We start from the raw sequence: 21,279 nt of genomic DNA, 5'->3' as shown, positions 1-21,279 counted from the left end.
AGAAATAAACCCTTGAATGGAGAAAAGAGACATACCACCTAGGTTTTGCATTCAGCTGTATGTCACAATTCCTTTGGTAAGCAGTATCCAGGCAGGGGAGGAGAATTTCATTACCTAGATGCTAGTTTCAGCCATATTTCAAAATGTACTTGGGGGCAGGGCACAGGCTGGGGAGACATATCACCTAGCGGATAGGCCCAGAGATACGTGATAATATCTCCTGTTGACATGGCCCAGGCAGAAAAGTCACATTATTTTTATTCTGACCCAGCAATACATAACAATGCACCCATGGAAAGAAAATAGAGCCACAATCTCACAACATCTGGATAGTAGGCCCAGTGACATGACACAATCTCAACATTTTTCAGGTCGATACTTCTAATTTTTAGCTGTGTGTATATTAGATTCACAGTCTCACATGTGAGCTGGGTCAGTATATGACACTCTCTACAATATCCATGGGCTTTATAAAACCTACATGAAGTGGTAGGTTGCAGTGGCTCATGCCTGTATTCACAGCGCTTTGGAAGGGTGAGACGGATAGATCATAAGGTCAGGAGTTCAAGACCCACCTGGACAAGATGGTGAAACTCCATCTCTACTAAAAATACAAAAAATTAGCCAGGCATGGTGGCAGGGGCCTGTAATCCCAGCTACTTGGGAGACTGAGGCAGGAGAATTGCTTGAAGTCATAGTGCAGAGGTTGCAGTGAGCTGAGACTGCCCCACTGCACTGCAGCCTGGGTGACATAGTGAGACTCCATCCCAACAGAAAAAAAAAAAAAAAAAAAAACACCTCCATGAAGATTGTCAACCTCTCTGAGGCATATGTGCACACACAATCTTACATATTGCACTCACAATCTTACATATTGTCCAAAACCCATGTTTGATAGTCAATATCTCCCCTATAGGCAGAGTTAATGCAGAAGACCTATTATTATGTCTGTGGACTGGATCCAGAAATGACTAATTATTCCACTTGTGGGCAGATCAACACATAAAAGTCACAATTCCAACTCTGTGCTTTATTTCCTTGTTACATTCAGGACTTCAAAAGTGGGCATTGTAAATGTGGGATTTGTGAAAACTTTTTATTATTATTATTATACTTTAAGTTCTAGGGTACATGTGCACAATGTGCAGGTTTGTTACATATGTATACAAGTGCCGTGTTGGTTTGCTGCACCCATTAACTCATTATTTACATTAGGTATTTCTCCTAATGCTATCCCTCCCACATTCCCCCACCCAAGGACAGACCCCAGTGGTGATGTTCCCCGCCCTGTGTCCAAGCATTCTGATTGTTCAATTTCCACCTACAAGTGAGAACATACGGTGTTTGGTTTTCTGTCCTTGCAATAGTTTGCTCAGAATGATGGTTTCTAGCTTCATTCATGTCGCTACAGAGGACATGAACTCATCCTTTTTATGGCTGCATAGTACTCAATGGTGTATATGTGCCTCATTTTCTTAATCCAGTCTATCATTGATGGACATTTGGGTTGGTTCCAAGTCTTTGCTATTGTGAATACTGCTGCGATAAACATACGTATGCAAGTGTCTTTATAGTAGCATGATTTGCAATCCTTTGGGCATATACTCAGTAATGGGATGGCTAGGTCAAATGGTATTTCTAGTTCTAGATCCTAGAGGAATTTCCACACTGTCTTCAACAATGTTTGAACTAGTTTACACTCCGACCATCAGTGTAAAAGCGTTACTATTTGTCCACATCCTCTACAGCACCTGTTGTTTCCTGACTTTTTAATGATCATCATTCTAACTGGTGTGAGATGGTATCTCATTGTGGTTTTGATTTGCATTTCTCTGATGACCAGAGATGATGAGCATTGTTTCATGTGTCCATTGGCTGCTTGTATGTCTTCTTTTGCAAAATGTCTGTTTATATCCTTTGCCCACTTTTGGATGGGGTTGTTAAATTTTTTCTTGTAAATTTCTTTAAGTTCTTTGTAGATTCCGGATATTAGCCCTTTGTCAGATGGGTAGATTGGAAAAATTTTCTTCCGTTCTGTAGCTTGCCAGTTCACTCTGATGGTAGTTTATTTTGCTGTGTAGAACCTCTTTAGTTTCGTTAGATCCCATTTGTCTATTTTAGCTTTTGTTGCCATTGCTTTTGCTGTTTTAGTCATGAAGTCCTTGCTCATGCTTATGTCCTGAATGATATTGCCTAGGTTTTCTTCTAGGGTTTTTATGCTTTTAGGCCTAAGATTTAAATCTTCAATCCATCTTGAATTGATTTTTGTAAAAGGTGTAAAGAAGGGATCAAGTTTCAGCTTTTGTAATATGGCTATCCAGTTTTTGGGAAGGTGAAAACTTTTGATTTTGCCTGGGTGCATAATCGAGAGTCCCAATCTCAACTTTTCATTAGGTCCTGTTATGAAACTCTCTACCATCAAAGAGTTTATATAATATAAGTTGGTGTTGTAAACTTCTGTCAACTTGGAATCAATATACAATCCAGGAGTTTACCTATTGCCCTAAGCTTAGCAATGTGAGGTAAAATATCTCCTATTGGCTGAATCCAAATATACATTTGATCACCATGTCTTTGAACTGAAGCAAGGTACATGTCATAATCCCATTTGTGGGCATAAAATGGGGCAGAAGGTTAACATCACTTAGATGCTGTATCACAATGCCTTGTGATGCTATGCCACATTTGTCACATGTGGTGCTCTGTCACAATTCCTTCTTTTGACAGTGTATAGGAATTTGGGTCACAATAACTGGGTGCCAGACCCAGGAACATGACACCATTCCACATGTGGAAAAACCCAGCCAAGTTATGAGAGGCAAAACACCTATATAATAGGTCCAAGATGTGTCAAAAAACCTTCGGTGGCTCCAGAACAGGCAGGAGAGACACATGATAAGGGTGTTGAGTCCAGCAATATACAATATGTCATAAATTTCCCTTTATGCAGAACCCAGGCAGAAGAGTAACATCATCTGAATGCTGGGCCATGCAATAAATCAAAATACATTATTTTGTGGGTATGGATCGGGAAAAAGAGGTGAGTCACCTATCCTGAGTGCTGGGCTCAGCAATATGTCAAAATCCTCCTATTGTGAAGTCCCAGGCGGATGAAGAACATCACATCACTTAGGCGATGGGCTCAGAGATATGTCCCAATGTCTCCAGTAGGCAAGGCTCAGGCATATGAGCAGAGTCATATCACCAGGTGCTTCCCTGGAAATATGTCACAATGTAACACATGGGCAGAAACCAAGTAGAGGAGCCACATCACTCGGATGCTGGGTCCTGAAATATGTCACAAGGCTGTCTTAGGACAGCAACAAGCAAAGAGGGTTACATCATGTAGTTGTAGGTTTTCTGCTTATTCCACAGTGCTTTATTTCAGTAGGGCCCAAGGAGAGAGTCCCTTCACCTAGGTGATAGACCCTGAGATTCGTCACAACGTCCTCTATAAAGCATAGCCCTGACAAAAGAGTATCATCACCTGTGTGCCTAGCCTAGAAATATGTTACTCCAGGTTGGCAAGGTCCGAGCAGGAGAGCCATATAACTCAGGTGATAGGCCCAGATATAATTCACAATGCCCTCCTTTGAATATTGCTCTGGCAAAGTAATACCCTCAACTCTGTGTCTGGCCTTGCAATATGTCACTATCTTTCATCTGTGCATGGCCCATTCCAGAGAGCAGAGTTACATCATCTATGAGGAGGACACAAAAATATGACACAATAATTTTGGTGGGCATGGTGCAGGCAAGAATATAACATCACCTGGGTGCTAGATTCAGTATGTTACAATCCTTACTCAGAGAAGGGCCCAGGTAGGAGAATCATGTCACCTTCAGTTTGGCCTAGCCAGATATCACAATCCCATATGTGGGCTGCAACAAGTCAGGAGAGTCAAATTACACAAGTGCTTGGCACAGATTTATATCACAATCACAGTGTTAGATAATTGCAAAGATGAGATTTACAATACCACACATATCCTGTTTTCATGTGTGATATTTGTCTTTATCCATGTGAGATAATGACAGTCTTTACTGTCAGCAGGGTGTGCATACAAGACACAATTTAACCTGTGTTCTGAGCCCTGCTGTGACTCTGTCTCTATAACCCAAAGACTTTGTAAAATATGTGTAAATGTTGTAATCTTTTGTGACATTTGTATAAGAACGTTATTCAGGACATCATGCATGTACCTAAACTTGGTTATAAGAGTTAAAATAACCTCTATTATCTCAATCCCCATATGACAGTCATTATCATTCCTGTGAACCATGCCTAGGTATATATTACAATTCTTTGTATGGCTATGAAGCAGGAAGAACAGCCATATTACCTAAATGCTGGGCCAGAATTATTCCAATATTCTCTTTGTAGGCAAGGTCTTGTCATAAATGTCAAAACACTTGTGTGCAAGGTCCAGCTCTTGGCACAGTGTCCTTTGTGGGAAGTGTCAGAGCAGGAGAGTAGGGTCATTTCACTTAATGGTGGGCCCAAAAATATTTCACAATGCCTCCTGTTAACAGGGCCCAGGCAGGAGATGTATCATTTAGATGCAGTGTTTAGTAATGCTACAATTACCAAAGGAAGTAGAATACAGGCAGTAGAGGGTAGAGGAGAGTCACATAACCTAGATGATGGGTCCAGAAATGTATTACAATCCCCCCTGAAGACACTGTTAAAATAGCACAGTCAAATCACCAAGGTACTTTGCCCAGGTATTTGTCAAAATCTCATTTGTGGGCTATACCTAGCAAAATTATTAAATCATTCTGGAGCTGGGCAAAGGTATATGTCACAATTATACTTGTGGAAAGGTTTAAAAATAAGAGTCATCATCTTGCACATGTTCTGGGCCCAGGTATATGACTTGTTATTAGGCTTTTGTTATGGTCTTAGGTATATAGCACAATATCACCTGTGGACACAGAGAAGGCAAGAATGTCACATCACCTATTTGGGTGTGAGTCCTGTGAGATGTCACAATCCCCCTTGTGGGAAGCCCCTTATAGAAAATTCACATCACCTGGATGCGGGTTTCAGTGACATATCAAAAACCCCTCTGTGGGCAGGACTTTGGAAAGAGAGGAGACTCACTTAACCTAGGCAGCTGGTCTAGATACATCTCACAGTGTTTGTTCTGTGCAGTACCAAAGCTGGAGAGTGACATTGGTGCTGGACCCAAGAATTTCACAATCTCCTTGTAATCAAGCCACAGGCCAAAGCAGAAAAACATAACCTAGGTGTTGAGCCAAGAGATATGCTACAATGCTTTCTGTTGGCTGAACCGAAGAAGAAGAATCACGTCACCTTGCTGCAGTGCCCAGTTATGTGTCACAATGCACTGTAAGTGAAAGGCCAAGGAAATATAGGGAGTCACATTACTTATGTGATGGGCCTAGGTAAAAGACACTATTCTCTTTGTAGGCAGATTTCAGGGAGATAATTCACCTCACCTGGGTGATGGTCCCAGGGATATACAAAAGTGCCATTTTGTAGGCATAGCCAAAGAAAGTATTATACATGGCTTAGGTATTTGTCCATGTATGACACAATTTCATCTGTGGCCTGGGCCTAGAAGAGACAGTCAAATTATTCACATGCTGGGCAATTTTACCTGTCCCAATCACCCTCTCAGAAGTGCTCAGAAATAAGTTTTTTATTCCACATGAATCCTGGTTTTGTATATTTGAGTTAATTTTTTCTATGAATTAGGTCAAAGTAGAGGAGTCACAATCCCAACAATGGGCAAGATCCATGTGTAAGCCTCAATCCTGCCTCAATCCTACTTGAATATTGTGTTCCAGTAGGAGAGTCATAGCACCACAAGTGTGCTGAATCATGTTTCAAATGTTTAAAAACCACCTGTTAATCACATCCACGTATGATAGTAATTATTTCAACCTTCAACACTTTTTATGTGTGAGATTTAGTACCACATTCCTAGACCTGTTTATGTGTAGGAATGACAATTGTGTCAGCTAGGTGTGCATACAAGAGTCACATTCTCACCTGGTTGCTCTTCTCTGTTATGACACTCTTTGTACCAATAAGGCTTTATGTGATATACCAGAGCATTATAATCATTCATGAACTTTATGGAAGTGAAAAACCCAGTACCTTACCCATGACAGTGAGATGGATATGAGAGTCACAATATCTCTACTGGCTGGGTCCAGGAATGGAAGTTATTATTACCCATGTATGCTTAACACAGGTATATGTCACAATTTTACCTGTGAGCTGGGACAAAGCGGGAGAGCCACATAACCTGGGTGCTGAGCCAGTGACACAATATAATTTCATTTGTAGGCTGGGCCTAGTCAGAAGAGTCAAATCACCTAGATGTTGGGGTCTGCAATGTGTAGTAATTCCCTCTCTTGGCAGCGTCTAGAATAGGAAGGAGAGTCACATCACATAGTCATATCACACAGTGGTATGTCACCACATCTGTGGTGAGCAGTACCCAGGCAGGAGAGGAGAGTCACATGACCTAGATGTTTGGTCAAAAGATATTTCACTATGTGCTCTGGGAATAGGTACAGACAGGAGAGAAAAATCACCTATCTCATAAGCCCAGAGATAAGCAATAATATCCCCTGTTTCCAGGGTACAGGCAGAAGTAACATGATTATGATTCTAACCCTGCGATATGCCAAAATGAACCAATGGGAAAAAAAATAAACCAAAAAGTCCCAATACATGGGTATTAGGCCTAGTAATGTTCCAAATCTTTTTGGATTTGAGAGTGACACCGTTAAATTGAGCTAGCTGTGTCTATGAGAGTCACAATCTTACATGTTTTTTGGGCTACATTTGAAGGCTTTATACAGCATTTTGAAGCATTTATACCACATGCATCAGGGTTGCAAACCACTCTGAAGCCTACATGCTTATAGGGATTCATGATCTCACATATTGCCCTAAACGCAGGTATGATAGTAAACATCTTTCCCATAGGCTGGTTTTAGGTATGAGATGCATTATTATGCCTATGAGCTGGACACAGAAATGAGTCACCATCCCCCCTGTGGCCAGATCCACATATGAAGGTCAAAATTCCAACTTTGTACTGTATTCACTTGTTAGACTCAGGATGTTAACAGTGGGCTTTGGACATGTGGGATGGTGACAACATTTGCTTTCACCTGGGAATGTAATCAGGAGTCCCAATCTGAACTTTTTGCTGGTCCCTGTCATGAAACTCTCTGTTCCAGTCAAGAAACATATACATTATGAGTTGGAGTTGTAAAGTTCTGTGAGCTTTCTAGATATTTGCAACCAAGGATCTTACTTATTGCCCTATGACTAGAGATGAAAGGCAGAATATCTCCTATTGGTTGAATCCAAGTATAAGTTTGACCATTATATGTCATAGTACCATTTGTGGGCAAAAAACTAGGCAGGAAGGTAACATTACTTAGGTGCTGTGCCAAGCAACATGTCCCAATGCCCTTTGTAGGCAGTGTATAGGAATTAGAGTCACATTAACTAGGTGCTGGACTCAGCAATATGCCCCAGTCTCAAAGGTGGAATAAAATCCAGACCAGGCACAATGACTCATGCCTGAAATATCAGCACTTTGGGAGGCCAAGCCTGGAAAATCACAAGGAAGGGTTCTAGACCAGCCTGACCAACTTACTGAAACCCTGTCTCTACTAAAAATACAAAAATTAGCTGAGCATGGTGGCACGTGCCTGTAATCCCAGCTACTCAGGGGGCTGAGACAGAATAATAGCTTGAACCCAGGAGGAGGAGGTTGCACTGAGCCGAGGTCATGCCATTGCACTCCAGCATTCCAGCCTGGGTGACAGAGCAAGACTCCTTTATCTCCACGCCCCACTGCCGCAAAAAAAAGCCAAGTTATGAAAGACAAAAGACCTACATAATGGGCCCAGGGGGTCAAAATATCTTCTGTGGCTCTGGGACAAGCATGAGAGTCATATTACAAATTTTTAGGGTGCTGGGCCCAGCAATATGCCATAGTTCTCTCTATATGCAGGACCCAAGCAAAAGAGTAATATCATCTATGTGCTGGGGCCACGCAATAAGTCAAAAATTTTTGTGTGTTCATGGTTCAAGAAAAAAAAAAGGATAAAATAACCTGAGTGATGGGCTCAGCTATATGGCACAATCCACTGATGTAAAAGCCAGAGAGAAGAAGCAGTTAGTTTATTAGGTTATGGGCTCAGAGATATTTCCCAGTGCCCCCAATAGGCAGGGCCCAGGCAGAAATGGAGAGTCATATCACCTAGGTGCTTCCCTAGTTATATGTCACAAACTAACATGTGGGCAGAAACTAGACAGAAGAGACACATCACTTGGGTACAGCCTCAAATAATATGTCATCATCCCCAGTGTAGACAGTTTTGAAGAAGAAAAAGAGAATCACACCAGTTGGGTGCTGAGCTCAGAAATATGGAATAATTCCTCCTCTAGGCAGAGTTTAGGAAAAAGAGGAAAGTCATGTCAACAAGGTTTTATGCTCAGTAACATGTCACAATTTCTTCAGTAGGCAGGATCCAAGCAGGAGAGGAGAGTCATATTACCTAGATATTTTATCTTGTGGTATGCTATAGTGTCCCCTGTGGGCAGGACACTGGAAGGGAGAAATATCACCTAGCAAGTAGGACCAGAGCTATCTAAAAATATTCCCTGATTATTGGGTCTAGGCAGAAGAATCGCATTATCATTACTCTGAACCAGTGATATGTAACAAAGCCCTTATAGAAAGGAAGTTAAGCCAAAAAGTCTCAACACCTGGTTGCTAAGCCAATGGATATGACACAATCTTCTCATTTTTAAGAGTGAAAATATTAACTGTTAGCTAGTTGTGTATATGAAAGCCACAATCTCACATGTGTGCTGACCATTGTATGGCACACTCTACAACATCAGGGAACTTTGTTCAACATGCATCAGGGTTGCTAACTTTTCTTAGGCCCAAACACTTATATGGACTCATGATCTTACATATTGCCATAAACCCAGGCATGACAGTAAACAGCTCTCCTATAGGCTGGACTCAGGAATGAGACCACTATTATGCCTGTAAGCTGGTGCCAAAAATGAGTCACCATCCCATGCGTGGCCACATTCACTTATGAAAGTCACAATTCCAACTTTCTGCTGTATTTACTTGTTAGACTGAGGAACTCAACAATGGGCTTTGTAAATGTAGGATGACAATAACTTTTACTTTCATGAGAGTGTGTAGTCAAGAGACACAATCTTAACTTTTGCTCGGCCCTATTATGAAACTCTGTACTACCCAATAAGTTTTCCTGATATGAGTTAATATTGCAAATTTCAGTGTGCTCTGTTCAAATGTGAAATGAAGGACCTTACCTATCGACCTAAATATAGATGCTAGAGGCAAGATATCCCCTATTGGGTGAATCCCAATATAAGCTTGATCATCTTGCCTTTGAACTGAACCAAAGTATATGTCATAATCCCATTTGTGGGCAAGAAAACCAAGCAAAACTTTAAAATTACTTAGGTGTTGTGCCACACGATATTTCACAATGTCCTCTCTAGGCAAGGGCTAGGAAAAGGGTCACATTAACTGGGGGCTGGAGCCACCAATATGATACAACCTCATGTGGAGAAAATCCAGAAAAGTGATGAGAGTCAAAACACCTACCGAATGGGTCAAAGATACGTCAAAATACCTTCTGTGGCTTGGGCAGAAGCAGGAGAGTTACATCTTTGTGGTGCTGGGCTGAACAATATGCTATAACTCCCTATTTATGCATGACCTAGGCAGAAGACTGACATAATCTGGGAGTTGGGCCCTGAAGCATGGGAAAAGTCCTGTTTGTGGGTGTTGTTCAGCAAAAAGATGAAAGTCACATTACCTAAGGGCTGGACTCATCAATATATCATAATATTCTCATTATAAAAGCACAGTCAGAAGAAGAGAGTCACATGATTTAGGTCATGGGCTCAGAAATATGTCCCAATGTCACCAGTATGCTGGGCTCAAGCAGAAAAAGAGAGTCATATCATCCAATTGCTTCCTTAGCTATATGTCACAAATTAATATGTGGGCAGATACTAGGCTGAAGAGACACATCACATGAATTTTGGTCCTGATGTATTCACAAGTCCCCTTTAGAAAAGGACCCAGACAATGGAGATACATCACCTATGTCCAGGTTCCAGCTTTATGTCACAATGCCCCATGTGGGCAGGACCAAGCAAGACGTCACATAAACTAGGTGATAGCCACAGAGATGTGTCACAAAGTCTTCCTTAAAGCATGGCCCTGTCAAAAGAGTACCATCACCTTTGTGCCTGGCCTAGCAATATGTCACTGTTCAAGTGGGCAGGTCCCAAGCTGAAGAGCCATATCACCTACAAGATAGGCCCTGAGATATGTCAAAATGTCCTCTTTTGGTCAAGGTCCTGACAAAAGAGTATCATCATCTGTGTGTGTGGCCTAGAAATGTGTCACTATTCTTCCCTGTGTGCAGGGCTCATTCCAGAGATGAGAGTAACATCTTCTAAGGGATGGACACAGTGATATGTCACAATGATGTTTCTGGGTATGGTGCAGACAAGAATGTAAAGTCACCCGGGAGCTGGATCCAGTGATGTCACCATTCTTACTGAGCATGATCCAGGCAGAAGAGTCATATCATTTTAAGAGTGGCTCAGGTAGATATCAAAATCCCATATGTAGGCTGGAACCAGTCTGAAGAGTAAAATCACACAGGTACTTGACAAAGATTTATATCACAATCACGATAGAATAAAATTCTAGGGATTAGATTTACCATACCACACATGTCCTGTTTTCATGTAGGAGAGTTGCCTCCATCCATCTGGAATAGTGAAATTCCTTACAGTCAGCTGGTGTGCATTGGAGACTCACAATTTCTTTTGTGTGCTAGGCCCTGTTATGACACTCTCTGTACAACCCAAAGGTGTTATAAAATATGTGTGATTTTTGTAATCTTCTGTGACCTTTTCCAGAAGAAGAACCTCCATATCACTCATGTACATCAACCTAGTTAGATGAGTCAAAATTTCTCCTATTGGCTCAGACCACATATGAGAGTCATTATTATGCCTGTTAGCTGTGCCTACGTATATGCCACCATCCACTTTGTGGTTACTAAACAGGCAGGACAACCATGTCACCTAAATCCGAAGCCAGAAAAATTCCAATATTCTCTTTGTAGGCAAGACCCTCACAGAAACATCACAAATATTGGGTGCTAAACCCAGCTCTATGGCATAATGCCTCCTGTGCAGAGTGTCCAGGCAGGAAAGGTGAGTCATACCACCTAAATGATGGGCACAGAAATATTTCACAATACCTTCTGTCAAAAAGGTTAGGCAAGAGGGTTATGTTGTTTGGATACAGTGCTTAAAAATGCTACACTCTTCACTGGAAGCCGAGTTCAGGCAGGAGAGGAGAGTCACATACCTAGACAAGGGGTCTAGGAGTATGTTGTGAACTCTTCTGAGGATACTGTTAAAACATGAGAGTCAAATCGCCAAGATTGTTATCTCAGGTTTATGTCAAAATGTCATCAGTGGGCTATAACTAGGCAGGATTATTAAATCACTCAGGAGCTGGGCAAAGTTATGTCACAACACCACCAATGGAAAAGTTTAGGGATGAGAGTCACCATCCTGCACATGTCCTGGCTCCAAGTACAAAAGTCGTTGTTAGGCCTTTCATCTAGTCTCAGTTATATGGCACAACATCACCTGTGGGCAGGGAGGGAGAAGAAAGGAAAGTCACATCACCTGAGTGGATTCTGGTCCAGTGAAATGTCACAATGCTCCTTGTGGGCAGGATTCTGGAAAAAGAGGCACATCACATAAATGTTGGTTTCAGTGACATATCTGAATTTCCCCTGTAGGCAGGGCTTAGGCAGGATAGGAGACAAACCTCACCTAAGCAACTGGTCTGGATATATGTCACAATTTCCCCTGTGTGCAGGACCATGCAGGAGAGGGACCAAACTTGGTGTTGGGTTCAGCAATATTTCACAATCTCTCCAGTAGTCAGGGCCCAGGCAAAAAAGAATAAGCCTCACATAGATGCTGAGACAAGTGACACATCATTTCCTACTGGTAAAACCCCTCCCATAAAAAAGAGTCATATCACCTGGGTGCAGTACCCAGTGATGTGTCACAATGCACCATAAGTGCATGGCCAAGGCATTAGAAGAAAGTCAAATAACTTATGTGATGGACCTAGATAGAAGCCACAATACTCTTCACAGGCAGAGTTTGGAACAAGTTTTCACATCAGTTGAGTGCTGGTCCCAATGATATGAAAAAATGTGCCCTTTGTCACATTGCCAAAGAAGGTGTTGGACTTAGCTTAGGTGCTTGGTGCATACATGTCACAATTTCAGTTGTGCTCTGGGCCCAGAAAGGAAGGTGAAAACACTCAGATGCTGGGCAAAGTCATACTTCTCAATCACAAACTTGAAAATATTAAGAAATAAGTTTCACAGTCTCACACAATTCCTGGCTTCTGGTATGAGAGTCAACACCCCCCTATGATTTGGGTTGCAGTACAAGCATTACAATCCCAACGAGGGGAAGAATCCATGTATAAAAGCCCGAATCCCAGTAAATAATTGTGTTCCAGCAAGAGAGTCAAACACCACAGTTCTACTTAATCATGGCTCAAATGTCATTAAACCACCTGTGGAGTAGATACATGTATGAGAGTAACAGTATCAACTGCTCAGGTGTGAGAGATTTAGCACCTCATTCATAGGCTCTGTCCATGTGTGAGAATGACAATTGTGTCAGCTAGGTGTGGATCCAAGAATCACAATAGCATCTGGTTTCTATGTTATGACAGTCCTTGTACCACTCAGGCTTTATATAATATTCCTGAGTAGCATACTTTTCTGTGAATTCTTACAGTTGGAAATCTGAGACATTCCCCAAGCCTGTATGACTGGCTATGAGAGTTGAAATATCTGCCCTGGATGGGTCTAGATATGAGAGTTATTATTGTGCATATGGGCTGAATGCAGGTATATGTCACATTTTCACCTTTGGACAGAGACAAGACAGAAGTGTTACATCATCAAGGTGCTGAGCCAGGGATACATTAAAACCTTCTTTGTACACAGGACCCTGTCAGAAGAGCCATGTCACCTGGGTACAATCTCAAATATGACATCATGCTCACTGTATACAGGTTTGAAAAAATATTGAATAGTCACATTCCCTAAATGCTGTGTGCAGTAATACCTGATAATTCCCTCTTTTGTCAGAGTCCGCGAGAAAGAGAAGAGTCACATCACTTAGGTTTTGCACTCAGTGGTATGTCCCAATTTCTTCAGTGGGCAGGATCCAGGCAAGAGAGGAGAGTCACATTACCTATGTGCTATATTTAGAGATATGTCACAGTGTCCTCTGTGGTCAGAAAACTGGGAGGAGAAACACATCACCTGGCTTATAAGACCAAAAATGTGGGATAATATGTCCTGTTGGCTGGGTCCAAGCTGAAAAATATTACTATTTTTTTTTTTCCGGGATGAAGTCTCCCTCTGTCACCCAGGCTGGAGTGCAGTGGCATGATCTAGGCTCACTGCAAGCACTGCCTCCTGGGTTCATGCCATTCTCCTGCCTCAACCTCCTGAGTAGCTGGGATCACTGGTGCCTGCCATCATGCTGGCTAACTTTTTTGTATTTTTAATACAGACAGGGTTTCACCGTGTTAGTCAGGATGGTCTTGATCTCCTGATCTTGTGATCCACCAGCCTCAGCCTCCCAAAATGCTGGAATGACAGCATGATCCACCATGTCCAGCCACATTATTATGATTCTAACTCAGAGATATTTTACAGTGCACCCATGGGAAAAAATTTAGCCAAAAACTTTCAACACCGGGTACTAGGCCTAGTAAAATAACACAATCTTCTCATAATTTAGTGTAACATCTTTAACAGTTAGCTTGGTGTGTATATAAGGGTCGCAATCTCATGTGTATTTTGGGTCGTAGTATGACACACTCTATAATATCTGGAGGTTTTAGGCAATATGCATGAGAGTTGAAAATCTCTGAGTCGTACATGCTTGTATTGACTCACAATGACACATATTGCCCTAAACCCAGTTATGATAGTCAATATCTCTCTTATAGGCTGGGTTCAGACATGAGACACATTATTATGCCTTTAATATGGGTCTAGAAATGATTCATCATCTTGCCTATAGTAAGATCCACATATGAAACTCACAACTCCATCTTTGTACTTTATTTACTTGTTAGAATCAGGACTTCCACACTGGGCTTTGCAAATGTGGTATGGTGATAATTTTTGCTCTCACCTGCATATGTAATCAGGAGTCACAATATTACCTTCTGCTGGGCCCTGTTATAAAACTCTGTGTACCACCCAAGGAGTTTATATGGTATGAGTTAGTGTTGCAAACTTATGTTACCTTTATACAAATATGCAACTCATAACCTTACCTATTGCTGAAGCATAGAAATGAGAAGAAAATATCACTAGTAGTGGAATCTAAATTTAAGTTTGATCATCTTGCCTGTGAAATGACACAATATAAATTTCATAATCTCATTTGTAGGAAAAATACTACTAAGATGCTGTGTCAAGCAATATGACACAATACCTTTTTTAGGCAGGGTCTAGAAGTTAGGGTTACATTAACTGGGTGCTGGACCCAGTAATATGACAAAATCCCAAATGTGAAAAAAAGAAACATAGAAAAATAATAGCAAAAACACCTATGCAATAGGCCCAAGATAAGTAAAAATACTTTTTGTTGCTCTAGCACAGGAGAGAAGTTTACATCATCAGGATGAGGGTGCCTAGCAGTATACCATAATTATTTGTTTATGCAGGACATGTACAGAAGAGGAACATCATCTAGGTGCTGAGCCCTGCAATCCGTCCAAATTCTTTTTCATGTGCATAGTTCAGGATAAAAAGTAGAATCATATTACCTAAGTATTGGGCTTAACAATGTGTCACATCACCATACTTTAAAGGCTCAAGCAGAAGAAAAGAGTCACATCACTTAGGACCCAGGCTCAGATCATTAGCCAAATATTCCAAGTAGGCAGGAGTCAGGTAGAAGTGTAGTCATATCACCTAGGTGCTTCTCCAGGTACATGGCACAATCTAACATGTGAGCTGAAGCCAAGCAGAATAGCCACCTCACCTTGATGCTGGGTCCTGAAATGTGTCACATGGCTCCCTTAGGACAGGACCTAGGCAAGAGAGTTACAACAAATAGATGCAGGGTCTACACTTATTTCATAATAATCCATGTGGTCAGGCCTCAAGCCAAGAGTCACATCACCTAGATGATTGGCCCAGAGATGTCAGAAAGTCCTCCTTGAGGCATGGCCCTGTGGAAAGAGTACCATCACCTGCATGCCTAGCCTAGTGATATGTCACTATCCAGGAAAGTAGGACCCAAGCAGGAGATCAATATCACCTAGGTGATAGGCCCAGAGGTTTTCCACAATGCCCTGTTTAGGACAAGGCCCTAGCAAAAGGGTACCATCACTTGTTTGACTCATCAAGCCATATGTCGTTATACTCCACTATGTGCCTTCTAATGAAGAGAGTTATGTCACCCAGGTGTTTGACACAGTCATATATCACAATGATTTATGTGGGCATGGCTCAGAAATAAATGTAACATGACCTGGTTCCTGGATCTAGTGATATGCCATGATTCTTACTGACAGCAAAGCCCAGCCAGGAGATTCACATCACCTAGTGGTTTCCCCAGGTAGATATCACAACATATGTGGGGTGGATCCAGTCTACAGAGTCAAATCACACAGGTTCTCAGCAAATATTTACATCACAATTACACTGGCAGAAAATACCTGAGAGGAGATTTACGATTCCACACGTCCCGTTTTCATGTGTAACTGTTGGCTTCATATATGTGAGACAGTGACAGTCATTACTGACTGCTGGGTGTGCATGTAAGAATACAATTTTACCTTTCTGCTGGGTTCTCTTATGACACGATCTGTACAAGTCAAGGTCTTTACCAAATATCTGAGTTTGTTATAACCTTCTGTGATTTTTTTTTTAGCAGAAAGGGATGTAATCACTCCTGTTTTTAAAAAATTATGAGAGTCAAAATTACTCCTATTCATGGGGTCCACATACGAGAGTTATCACCAGGCCTGTGAACTGTGCACAGGTTTACATCAAAGGTTACTTTGTGGTAATGAAACAGTCATGGTAGCCAAACAACCTGAATGCTGAGCCAGAAATAGTCCAATATTTTCTTTGTAGGCAGAATACTTTGTGAAATGTGGCATAACCTGTGTACTTGATCCAGCTCTGTGGCACATTGTCACTTGTGGGCCATGTTCAGGCAGAAGAGGAGAGTCATATCACCTAAATATTTGGTGATATGACTCAGCTAGATTTTGCTTTCAGTGGTATGTCACAATTTCTTCAGTGGGCAGGATCCAGGCAGGACAGAAGAGTCACATTACGTAGATTCTATATCTAGTGATAAGTCACAATGTTTCCTGTGTGCACAGCACTGTCAGGGGAGACACATCACGTAGCTAATAGTCTCAGACATATGTGATAATATCCCCCGGTGAGAGCGCCCAGGCAAAAGAGTCACATCATTATGATTTTGACCCAGTGACATGTAATAATGTCCCCATGGAAAGGAATATGAGCCCCAAAGTCTCAAAACTGGGGCTCAGTGATATGACACAATCTCCTCATCTTTGAGGGTGACAGGTAACTTTTAGCTGAGCATGTGTATTAGTGTCACTGTCTCACTTGTGTACTGGACCAATGTATGACTCTCTCTGCAACATCCGAGGAATTTATAACACCTTCATGAGGGATGCAAACCTCTCTGAGGTGTACATGCTCTTATGAACTCACAATCTTATATATTGCCCTAACCCCAGGTTTTTTAGTCAACATCTCTCCTATAGGCAGAGTTAAGGGAGAAGACCTATTATTATGCCTGTGGGCTGGGTCCAGAAATAAGTCACAATCTCACCTTTGGCCAGATCCACATATAAAAGTCATAATTCCAACCTCGCACTATATTTGCTTGTTACACTCAGAATGTCAACAGTGGGATTTGTAGGTGTGGAATAATGACCACTTTTAATTTCTCCTTGGTGTGTAATTGAGAGCCCCAATGTGAACTTTCTGCTGGCTCCTGTTATGAAACTCCCTACCACAGAAGTGTTTATACTATATAAGATAGTGGTGTAAGCTTCTGTGAGCATGATACAAATATGCAACCTGGGGCTTCTCTATTGTCCTAAGCCTAAGTATAAGAGGGAAAATTTTCCCTATTGGCTCAAACCGAATATAAGTTTGATCATCATGCCTTTGAACTTCAGCAAGGTATATGTCATAATTCCATTTGTGGACAAAAAACTAGGCAGGAGGGTAACATCACTTAGCCAAATAACCTGAATATTGAGCAATTCTGTGCAAAGCAATGTGTCACAATGCCTTCTCTACGCAGGGTATCGAAAACTGGGTCACATAACTGGGTGCTGAACCCATCAATATGGTACCATCTCACATGTGGAAAAAATCCAGCCAGGTAATGAGAGCCAAAACACCTACATAATGGGCCCAAGATATGACAATATACCTTCAGTGGCTCAAGCACAGACAGGAGAGTCACATCAATAGGGTGCTTGGCCCAGTGATATGCAATATGTCATAATTTCCTCTTTATGCAGGACCCAGGCAGAAGAGTAACATCATCCAGTGATGAATCCTGCAATATGACAAAATTCCATTTTTGTAGGCATTGTCCAGAAAAAGAGGAGAGTTATGTACCTTGAGTGCTGGGCTCACCAATGTGTCAAAATCCTCCTATTGTGAAGGCCCAGGCAGAAAAAGAGAGCCACATCACTTAGGTCATGGGCTCAGAGATATGTCCCAATGAGAGGTTTTCCGGGAAACCCTGACTCAACGAAAAATAAATAATGTACACAGATGCATATATTATGCTTATCAGTCTGGCTGAGAGTCCAAGCCACTTACAGACTCCAGTGAGAGTGCTGTCAGCTGTGGCCCTGAGTTGCTGGCTCTCCTGGCATTCATTCAACACACATTAAATGACAAAAGTCTCAAGTAAACACCACTAGAAATTAATTACCATTGCTGACCCCTCTAATACAAAGAAATTACACACCAGCAAATGGTCAAAGGTTAGTTTTAGGACCACATGAGTAAACAAGCTATTTAAATAGACTTCTCTGTATTCCATCGTTAAATACCCTTGCTATAGCTCAAAAAGTATAAGGCTGTCTTCAGCCAAACACTTTATACAAACCTCCAGGCCTTCCAGAGATTATGTGTTTATATTTTACATAAATAATTTCCCACCAGGCTGACTGAACCCCAGCATCCCAATGTCCACCGCAAGCAGGGATCAGGCAGATGAGGAGAGTCAGATCCCCTAGCTGCTTTCCTGGGAATGTGTCACAATGTAACATGTGGACAGAAAGTGGACAAAAGAAACACATCACTTAGGTTCTGGTTCCTGAGATCTTTCACAAGGCTCTCTTAACACAGAACCCAGCAAAGAGAGTTATATCACCTAGATGCAGGTTTCTGCTTATGCCACAATGCTCCACATGGGTAGGGCCAAAGCAGGGATTCACTTCACCGAGGTGATAGGCCCAGATATATGTAACAATGTCCTCTATGGAGCATAGCCCTGGCAAAAGAATATCATCACCTGTGTGACTGGCCTGGAAATATGTCACTCTCCAGGTTGGCAAAGCCCAAGCAGGAAAGCCACATAAACTCTGCGATAAGCCGAGAGATATGTCACAATGCCCTCCTTTGGGCATGGATCTGGCCTAAGAGTTCCCTCACCTGTATGCCTGGGCTAGCAATATGTCACCATCCTTCCTTTGTGCAGGGCCCATTACAGAGAGGAGAGTGGCATCCCCTAAGAGGTGGACACAAATATATGTAACAGCAATTTGGGTGGCATGGTGAAGGCAAGAATATAACATCACCTGGATGCTAGCTCCAGTGATATGTCACAATCATTACTGAGAAAAGGGCCCAGGCAGGAGAGTCACATCACCTCCAGGTTGTCCTAGGTAGAGATCACAATCTCATATATGGGCTGAAACAATTCTGGTGAGTCAGATTACACAGGTGCTTGGCAAAGGTTTACATCACAATCACACTCTCAGAAAATTCCAAAGATGAGATTTACAATACCACACACATCCTGTTTTCATTTAACAACTGGCTTCATACATGTTAGATGATGACAGTCATTACTGTGAGCTAGGTGTGCATACAAGGCTCAAAACCACCTGTAAGCTGAGCCCTGCTTAGATTCTGTGTATGTAAGCCAAAGATTTTGTAAACATGTGTAAGTGTTACAGTCTTCTGTGACCTTTGAACAAGAAGATGATCCAAGACATCACACATGTCATTAAACCTATTTATAAGACTTAAAGTAGCCTCTACTGGCTGAGTCCACATAAATGACTCATTATCATGCCTGTTGTGCAGGCCTAGGAATAGGTTACAATTCCCTCTGTAGTTATAAAGCAGGCAGAAGAGCCACATCACTGAAATCCTGGGCCAGAAATATCCCAATATTCTTATTGTAGGAATATTCCAGTAAGAAATGTCACACAACTGGTGTGCTAAATCCAGCTTTGTGCACAACGTCCCTTGTGGGAAGTGTCCAGGCAGGATAGGAGACTCATATCACCTTACAGCAGGGATCAAAAATATGTCACAATATCTCATGTTGACAGGGCTCAGGAAAAAGAATCAAGTCATTAGGATGCAGTGTTTAGAAATGCTAAAATTACTAAAGAAAGCAGAGTACAGGCCAAAGAAGGGAGTCATGTAACCTAGATGACAGGTAAAGAAATATGTGACCATTCACCCTAAGGACATTGTTAAGATAGCACGATTAATTCACCAAGGTTCTTGGCCCAGGTATTTGTCAAAATCTCATTTGTGGACTGAATCTAGGCAGAATTATTAAGTCACTCAGGAGCTGAGCAATACTATATGTCAGAATTACACTTGTGAAAAAGTTTAAGAATACAACTCACCATCCTGCGCAAGTTCTGACTCCAGACATGAGTTGCTATTAGGCTTTTTTATGGTCTCAGATACATGGCACAATATTATTTGTGGCAAGAGAGAAGGCAGGAAAGTCACATCACCTACGTGGGTGCAAGTCCAATGAGATGTCACAATCCACCTTGTGGGCAGGAAACTGGCCAAAAAGTCACAAAACCGGAAAGCTAATTTCAGTGACATATCAAAACTCCTCATGTTGGCATGAATTTGGCAAGAGAGGAGATTCAGTTCACCTAACAATTGGCCTCACTATATGTCAAAATGGCTCTAATATTCAGTACCAAGGTTGGAGAGCGATCTCACATTGATGCTGAAATCAGGAATATGTCACAGTCTCCCTGTGGCCAGGGAACAGGCAAAAGTGAAGAAACATCACCTAGGTGCTTAGCCAAGTGATATGTTACAATGCTTTCTGTTGGCAGAACCCAAAATAGAGAATCACATCACCTGGGTGCAGTACCAAGCTATGTGTTACAATACACTATAAGTGCAGGGCCAAGGCAGTAGAAAGGAGTCATATCACTTATGTAATGGACCTTGATATAAGACACAATTCTCATTGTAGGCAAGTTTAGGCAGATAATTCGCCTCACCAGGATGATGGTCCTAGTGATATACAAAAGTGCCCTTCATAGGCAGTGCGAAGGAATGTGTTACGTATTGCTTAGGGCCATATTCTTCCACATATGGCACAATTTCATCTGTAGTGTGGACCAAAAAAAGGGGTCAAATTATTCATGTGCTGGGGAAATTTACCTGTCCCAATCACACTCTCAGAAATGTTTGAAATAAGTTGCACATTCTACACAAGTCCTGGTTTTGTGTATGAAAGTCAAATCTTTCTATGAGTTGAGTTGATGCAGAGGAGTCACATTTCAGCAATGATGCAGATCCATCTATAACAGCCAGAATCCCACCAGAAGATTATGTTTCAGCTGGGGAGTCACAACACCACATTGTGCTGAATCATGCTGCAAATGTTACCAAACCACCTGTGATTAAGAGGCAGGTATAAGAGTAATTATTTCAGCTTTTGACTTCTATTAGGTATGCATGCAAGAGTCATATTCTCACCTCGTTGCTGATCTCTTTTATGACACTCTTTGCACCATAAAGGGTTTATATTATATGCCTGAGTCTTATAATTCTTCATGAACTTTGTAC

This window comes from Homo sapiens, chromosome Y, assembly GCF_000001405.40.
Source record: "Homo sapiens chromosome Y, GRCh38.p14 Primary Assembly".
In the NCBI taxonomy this organism is placed as follows: Eukaryota; Metazoa; Chordata; class Mammalia; order Primates; family Hominidae; genus Homo; species Homo sapiens.
This window is presented reverse-complemented; position numbering follows the sequence as displayed.